Raw genomic sequence first — 8,855 nt, forward strand, 5'->3', positions numbered from 1 at the left:
AAATGCTGTCTTGACCTTGAGCCTTTTGAGTGTCAGAAGCACGGCCTTTCTGAGGAATGTGGCTTTTCAATAGGCATAATGCTATTGGATTAACTCTTCTCTGCTTTAAATCTTAAAAGTAAGAACTATATACACACACACACACACACACACACACACACACTTACAGTTTAGATTTTTTTTTTTAAATTCCAAATCTAACAACTCCCAGGGGATTGGGATTTGATTGATTTTATTTAAAGTCTGGGTGGGTTTTTGACCACTAAATATTTGCTTAATTATCCCATCAATGAAGAGTGATGCTCTCATTAGCAGGGGTTAGAAGCCCATCTGTGTTCTCTGGCGGTTTTTTGTGCAGGACTGTAAACCTGCAAATTGCATGTACAGTTGGGGAGTCAGAAAACTGTAATTGCAGCTCTGATACTCATTATCCCATGAACTTGGGTAAAGTAATTTTCCCCCCTGGGTCTTGGCCTATCTGTGCACAAATTGTAGTTAATAGTACTCCACAGCAATATACAATTTCAGTATTTTATGGTAAGCCAAAAAGCCTTGCCTTGTGTGCTTCTCACTGGCAAAAAGTGATGCCCTAACAGATCCTGAAGTTGAAGTTATTACACAGAACCAAAGAAACTGCCACACAATTGGAAAGCAAGAGGCATCTTATCACTTGGGAATTTGCAAACTCAGAGATCACAACATGCCTGTCCATGTCCCTAAGGAAAACCAAAAGTGAATTCTTCTCCAGGAAGAAACACTGCGAGCTAAATTTCATGGGTGTTTAGGGAGATGACCTAACGAAAGTCATTTGATAGTTATTCCCAGCAGGAGCAAATCTAGATTTTGTGAGGTCTGAAGTATTTACACTTTTGTAAGGGAAAGGTGAGTACTCTTTAGTAAGAGGATTACTTAATAACTATGTCTTTAGAATGAAAAAAGTCACATTCTAAATTTCTTAAATATTAATATCACAAATGTTACAAAATGCAAAAACAATATTTGTGACTGTCTGATACCCCTCTATATTATTTTTTCTATATTTTTTGGTCTGCATTCTTGACAACTGCTTCACAGAACAACCATTTTGAAAAAGTGTTTCCAGAAGTGGATTTACCATCAAACTTGAGCTTCAGGACCTCTCACTCCCATGGGTCCCTTGCAAGGCCCTATACCAATCTTGTATTTTCCTCAATTCTCATTTAAAAAGAAAATAAAAAATGGTGTTTTTATAATTGTACATGTTGTACTATCAGGTTGTATTCCTGAGAAGAAAGACCTTCCATTTACTAGGCTTCAATGGGAACCAAATTTTCTACTTAGAGCTGACAATTGGACAAATTTTCCATGTTTGCTACTGACTCTGTGTGTTTCCCTCCATCACTTACTCATTTACAATGTTGGGCTCTAAAAGACACGTTCATAGTGCAAGAAAATTCTTCCCCATATCTTCATGGCACAATGCTGGGTCAATTAACACAACAGGCAATAGGAGTATTTCTAGAAACCATTCCCATATGAGGATACCTAGCCTAATTATCATTCTAAATAAACATTCACTGCGTACTTCCAGAAAGTGACTGGGAACCACATAAACACATCCTGTTAACCTCAAACTACCTGCATTCCCAATTCAACTTCCTCTAACTTGGATTCCCAACACTCATGGCCATTCCAATGCCATCCTATATGAGAGAAGGAGTAGTAAAAGGGAAGTTGGAATGGAAAGAGACTGTGATCTTAAACAATATGTTTTCACTGTGATCTTAAACTATATGTCATACTTTTGCAAATTTTACAGAAACATATGACTTTGCAAATGGATGGCCCTAAAATTTAACCATCATTCATTCCATGATAAAACTTCCTCTGATCCTGAGTCTTGATGTCTCCACACCTGCTCCCATGATGGAGGTGATGCCTTTGAGGAAATAGACTGCTATTAAGGTATCAAATAGAGTGAACTTCAGGAGTAGCATTTTGGCATTTCTAGCTTCCATGAATATTGTGATATGGATACTGCTCCAGACTTCAGAGGACACAAATTATTCATTCAGCTGTGGTTCACTCATATATCTATCAAGTTACCCCCAAAATACTCACTAAACCCTATCATCATTAAAAGACTATGCTAAGAGTTGTGGCTGATTGAAAAATAAGTAAGCCACAGTCCCTGCCCTGAAGGAACCTAGACTAGTAAAGAAGACAAAACATACATAAATCATAGTGCAAAGTAGACTGCACTGGAAGAGCAAAGGAAGTAGATGTCCAAGTTGGAGTTCAAATAACCAAACTGTGGGCTTATTCCTTTGAATAATTTTATAGCCTCTGATTCTGTTTCCTCATCTATAAAATCCGAGTGGTAATACTCGTCTCACAAGACTACTATAAGGATTAAAGGAGATAAAGTTAAGCAAAATTGACTAAACACAAGGTTTTCTCTAAATATAACTCCCTAGAGGTAAAAAAAAAGTCTTATTCTTTTATGTACCTATTTATATTCTATTGCCTAATAAACCTCTGTTGAAAGTGGAATTATGAAAAACAGGTGAACGAGATAAAAAAATTAAAAAAAAAAAAAAAAAAAAAAAGATGCAAGGGCTTCCCAGAGCACATCTGCCCTTACCCAAAGCCTCAAAGAATATATTGGACATGGAAAAAAAAAAAAGAGGAAATGGTTGGCTCATGAAACTAAGAAATCCAAGGGCAAATTTAACTCTAGGTGGGCAGAGCCTTGGGATGCAAACAATATTCCCGGAACCAGTCTCTCTCCTTTGCTTGGCTCTGCTTTTCTTTGTGTTGGCTTTATTCCCAGGCAGCCTCTTCCCACACCATGGCAAAAGGTCACCTGCCCCTTCAGGTATAGTGAGCGCAAATCTGCAATCTATGGTAGAAAGAATCTCAGATTTGGAATATGTAAATGAGCTCACCCCTGGAGATGGTTGGAAGGGTGGTATGCAAATGGGGGAGGCATTTAGCTTAACTGTTGTCATGGGGACTGAGAATGCAAAAGGAGTGGATCCCTACAAAAAAATATCTCGGCAGCTAAGCAGAAGGAGGGAAAGAACTGCTGTGGAATTCTACAAAGCACACTTCAGGTAGAGAAGAAAACGAGCAAAAGCACAAATGTTTACTGAGCACATACTGCCCTGGTGTCTGGGAGGATCCAAAGATTTGATTCTGGCCTCAAGCAGGGGAGGTAAGGCTTGTCTGAAAAATAAACAACCATAATCCAAGGTAGGAAGTGAGTAAAGCCCTAAAAGGGTCGATAAATGCCATTCATTCAGAGAAGGCTGAGAGCTCTCTGAGCTGGAAGGATTGGAAACTTTTCAGAAAAGGCGTAGCACCTGAATTGGATTTTGAAGGAGCTTGTAGGGAAAATAGTGTTCATAAATCGCCTGAAAATTAAAATATCTCAAAACCAGCCCTAGCCTTGGGCTTTGAAGCTGTAGAATTATTTGAGGGTCTGCAGAATCAGAACATTCAGTCATTTCTCACATCGTCCTCATGGTCAAAGATTAAAGTGGAAACAGAGGCAGATAAGAAAGGTCACGGGGGTAGTTTGTGGCAAGAGCTACACTGCCTAGGCTAAAGTCCCCATTTTAAATGTTAAGTAATTGTATCTCCTTACATTTGTTCATTTATCAATGTAACTAGATCTCCTTCTTTCATTGAGGTAAAATTCACATAACATAAAATTAACTATTTTAAAATGTACAATTCAGTGGCATTTAGTACATCCACACTGTTGTTCAATCATCACCTTTATCTAGTTCCAAAACATTGTCACCTCTCCAAAAGGAAAACAGTACCACTAAGCAGTCACTCCCTGCTACTCCAACCCCAACACCCCTAGCCTCTGGCAACCACTGACCTATTTTGTATTTCTGTGGATTTACCTATTCTGGATATTTCATACATATAGAATCACATAATGTACGATTTTTTTGTGTCTGGCTTTTTTCACTTAGTATATGTTCTTGAGGTTAACCAGAATTCTTTCAATATTCCTTTTCATATTGTATAACACTGAGCTATAAAGACCAACTCTATACCTAAACTCCATACCCCAGCAGCCCCCTTGTGATGGGTCTCCTACACCCAATGTCCACTGACTCTGACAGCCAATGTTTCGAGGGGCTATTTCTTAAGAACTCCTTAGGGTTCTTCTGTACTTACAAGGAAGTAGTTTACTTGATATATAATGACTGGTAAATTAGCTGGTTGATTGTTGAGTGCTTGTAGACTCCAAAGTAGATTCTTTGACAAAACAGAACTCTTTCCCCAAGAACAGTCAGTCAAGCATAAGAAATAGGCAGGCAGCAGGGTAAGGGAGCCTGACTTAGGACCAGCCCAGCCTTCCATCCTACCACAGCTTCTTATCCGTTACCATGGAATTTAATATTTGGAAGAGTTCTTGGAGAACATTCATTTTTTAGATAATGAAACTGAGGCTCTAATAAGTTTTTTTTTAATTATCCAAGATCACACAGCTAGAGCATCAGAGCCCATATAAGAGCTCAGAAATTCTCAGGCTAGATTCAGCACTCTCTGATACAATATGGTGTCCAGTAGTTTTCTCTCTAGAAACAAGAATGAAATGTAAGAAAGCAGCAGGTTGAAAGAATACCTCTGGCCAGGTGCAGCAGTGCACGCCTCAGTCCCAGCTACGCGGGAGGCTGAGGCAGAAGGATCGCTTGAGCCCAGGAATTCGAGACTGCACTCTACCCTGGGTGACAGAGTGAGACCTTGTGTCAAAAAAAAAAAAGAAAGAAAGAAAACCTCTCTGGACTCTGGAAAAGCTGAGAGGAGTCCCGTTCAGTAATTTTTCAATCTGTACAAATAATAAAAGGGGGGACATTGCACTTCACAAGGAAAGAGAAGCCGGTATATCATAACTGAGAGCAATTTTGCTCTTAAATTATGAGCATATGAATGAATGGGCAATGCTTTCTATCATGTATAAATTTGGAGTTTCATTGGAGCTATTTTCCCCTGAGTGGGGTGCCTTCTTGTCAACATGGTCTATATCTTACTGCTTTATAGAAATGATGATCTGCATTCGACCATCTGATTTCAGATTTGTTCCCAAGGGTACTGAAAGCAAATGACCCAGTAATGGGAGGGGGGTGAGGCTGGTGCCGAGGGGACAATATTTAGGATATAGCAGCACTGAGGGCATCCCACCCATTCAGGAGCAACTAAGCTGCTCTTCTCCCTCTGCAAAAACACTGCTCGTAAATGGGAGCTCAGATCCTTCTAGGGAGAAATGCAAGCCTGTAAATACCATGTCAGGGTCTTTATTTTTTTTGTAACATAAAGTTAATGATGCTTAAAATATGCACAATATGTACCCCTGTGGAACACTGAATTATCTTGATGTCTGAACTTCTGAGGATGGCCTATAAAGAAAATAATTCAGAAGTGAGTAGAAATAGACAGAATTGTAGAATTGTAAAACGCAATTGGGGATTGCGGGGGAAGCCCCAAATGTATGTACCGCACAACAGAGGGGAAAGAAAAACAATGCTCAAATGTGCTCATCTTTGTTTTTTAATCTCGTCTTTAAAAGACTGACTTCCTGGATTTTTGCCTTAGAGATTCATGAGCATTTCCTTGACATAATTTAGTTTTTCTTTTTAACTCAGGGGAAAAGCTGCTTTCATAAACAAGCCAACTGGACTGTTTTCTCCCTGCAGAGGTACAACACTCAAACCCTCTCCAGCTGAAACAAACAAACAAACCAAAAAAAAGAGAAGAAGGAAAAAAAAACTTCTAACTAATATTTAAGCTTTCAAAAGCAGGTTGGCTGCGAGCCTCACTAGGATAATCATTTGCACCCTCCTTCAGCCACATATAATACAGTCTTTATTCAGCAAATAGCAAAGTCGTTTCCCAGAAAGTCAAAGGTCAGTTTTTGCTGTATTAATAGCTGCTCTGGGAGGGTCAGTGTTGTGCTATCCTACATTTTTTCCAGGGCCTGGAGATGCAATTTCCTACAATCTGCAGGCAATTTCCCACCAATTTTCTTGGGGAGCTAATAGGCTGTGACAGGAGATGGAGCTAGCAAGCAGCAGGCGGCTTCAGAAAAGACAAATTGCATCTCTGCCACCTAACTGGGCAATCTAGATCGACAGAGTTTATAGCTTTGTAGTGTTATTGGGCCCCATGCTAACAGCAAATCATTCACGCTGCTCGCCGAATTTCATATTCCCTTCCTTCTGAATTTGTTATTGCCACATATCACTTTGTAGCACTTTCCCTGGAAATTGCAGTAAAAAGGGGATCACATATATATTAGCGACTTCAATGTCTCTTAAATGGCTTACCAGAGATTATTAGCATTCAATAATTTCTGTCTACAGAGTTAGGGCTAAGCTGGTAATTTTTAAGTCATGGGGTGGGAATGTTGGAAGGAAGAAGGCACCATGCAACAGGTTGCAATCCTTTGGGTAGCAAATAGAGACTTTTTTTTTTTTTTTTGAGATGGAGTCTCGCTCTGTCACCCAGGCTAGAGTGCAGTGGCGTGATCTAGGCTCACTGCAAGCTCCACCTCCCGGGTTCATGCCATTCTCCTGCCTCAGCCTCCCGAATAGCTGGGACTACAGGTGCCCGCCACCACGCCTGGCTAATTTTTGTGTGTGTGTTTTTAGTAGAGACGGGGTTTCACTGTGTTAGCCAGGATCGTCTCGATATCCTGACCTCGTGATCCACCCGCCTCAGCCTCCCAAAGTGCTGTGATTACAGGCGTGAGCCACCGTGCCCGGCCGAGACTCTTTCTTATATCTCCTCTGACCATGTTCTTGTGTACAGTGAAATGCATTTCAAAAAATAACATAAACATTTGCAAAATATGCTTGCAACACTGATTTATGCTTTGCCTAGAATGTTTCTTAAAAACAGTGGAAATGTTTTCATAGAATGAAATAGAAACATCTTTATTTTGTATTTAAATCTTCTTTCATATTACATAAATAATACATGTTCAACCTAAAAGATTTAGGATAGATAAGGGAAGGGGGGAGGTCTGATTAAAGAAAAAACATAATCATTGTACCAACTCAGGCATTTTTTAAAAACTTTATTTATAAAAGACCTACTCTGTGCCAGGCCTGGCACGTCCTGAGGTTTACAAAGATGAATAAGACAGGATCCCTGCTGCTGGGGATTTCACAGTCTAGTGGAGGAGACCAGCATATAAACAGATAAATTGCAAGATGTTGTGGCCACAGTTGCCTGGATGCTTCTTTTGAAGAAAGGGGGAAAAAACTGCCTACAAAAGTAAACTGAGGTGAGAAACAGAACAACTCAGATGGAATTAAACAGTGCAAGTAAATAAACAGCAGAGATTCAGTCAGGTCAGCTTTCCTCAAGTGGTTGTATGTGAAGGGACTGATGGAAGCGTATGGAAATAGTAACCAATGCACTCTGTGATTATTTGCATCTAGGGACTGTCACTGGAAAAGCAGATCAACAGGAATGTTTTGGACAACCTGATCTATGCTCTAAATTACTCTCACATTAGGATAATTGCACACTCGTGCCCTGGCATAAGGAGGCTGGAGTGAGTCTCAAGGTTACAGGAGTCTACAAGAAGGGGTTAAGAGCAGAGTATGTGGCCGGGTGCGGTGGCTCACGCCTGTAATCCCAGCACTTTGGGAGGCCGAGGTGGGCGGATCACCTGAGGTCAGAAATTTGAGACCAGCCTGACCAACATGGAGAAAACCCATCTCTACTAAAAGTACAAAATTAGCCGGGCATGGTGGCTCATGCCTGTAATCCCAGCTACTCAGGAGGCTGAGGCAGGAGAATCTCTTGAACCAGGGAGGCGGAGGTTGCAGTGAGCCGAGATTCTGTCATTGCACTCCAGCCTGGGTGACAAGAGCAAAACTCCGCCTCAAAAAAAAAGAGCAGAGTATGTGCCAGAGAGGAATGCAGAACCCCTTGCTAATCTTGTGAACCTCATTTCTAAATAATATCTATCTTCAAAGAACTTAAAGAAGTCTGAGTTTTTTTTAAAGGAAGAAAGAAAATAAAAAACTAAAACCATCACTTCCTAAAGATTAGGAAGTACCTAATCTTCACAGGTTAATAAACACTGAGGCAGAAACACCTCTCATCTCTCTGAACTGGATTAGCCTCTGGAAAGAGTAGGTAGTCTCTGCTCTATTTGCTGATATTGCTGATACCTCTATAAAAAGTAGTATTATGGTGCTTTATTTTTGGCTCATTATCATACCAGTATGTGTAAGCAGTACACAAAAAAAGATCACCTCAAAGAGAAAAAGCAACAAGTTTTGGCATGGAAATTTTCAAACCTTGAGAGTTGCAGGGTTGATTTAAGCAGATTATCCTGGCTTGCTGGTGTGGAGGACAGGCAGGGGAGGTTTGCCCAAGCAGTAGAAAAGCAATAAGGTCTCTGCTCCAAACCATCTGTTCCACTCGCCGATTGTGGGATCTGAAGCTTCATCATCCATACTTATTCCTATCCTGAAAACTTATTTTGATGATCATGAGTCTTGAAGACAGAATGTTTTTAATCTCAAAGTGTCCAGGGCTAGGCCCCTAATAATCCTACATAAACACTGACTGACTAAGTAGAATGAAGAAGCCCTTAGCTAAAATGCTAATACTTTCTGGTATAAACCAGTCACTATCCATTTGCCCCTCACTTGAGGAGGTTCCAATTGAATAGGTCTCAGGAAAGACTCCTGGCATCTCCTGGCGGATTCTGCCACATAGCTAGGTTGAAAACCCCTGGGATAGGTATGGGGTGAGAGGAATGGAACGGACACCAAATGTATACCTCATAATGAATCTCTAAGAATGGCAATGACACACTGTAGAAAAAGCATAGG

General features: G+C 40.4%; 2 annotated features.

Moving 5' to 3' along the window:
- Positions 2,410-2,910: an enhancer, noted in NCBI's record as "NANOG-H3K4me1 hESC enhancer chr9:84164162-84164662 (GRCh37/hg19 assembly coordinates)". NCBI's record gives its function as "activates a minimal SCP1, AML or CMV promoter by ChIP-STARR-seq in primed H9 embryonic stem cells {active_cell/tissue: H9 hESC(primed)}" and the evidence as "EXISTENCE:reporter gene assay evidence [ECO:0000049][PMID:30033119]".
- Positions 5,599-6,424: an enhancer, noted in NCBI's record as "VISTA enhancer hs1118". NCBI's record gives its function as "enhancer in: forebrain[6/7] | branchial arch[4/7]" and the evidence as "EXISTENCE:transgenic organism evidence [ECO:0001131][PMID:17130149]".

Source organism: Homo sapiens, chromosome 9, assembly GCF_000001405.40.
Source record: "Homo sapiens chromosome 9, GRCh38.p14 Primary Assembly".
Lineage (NCBI taxonomy): Eukaryota > Metazoa > Chordata > Mammalia > Primates > Hominidae > Homo > Homo sapiens.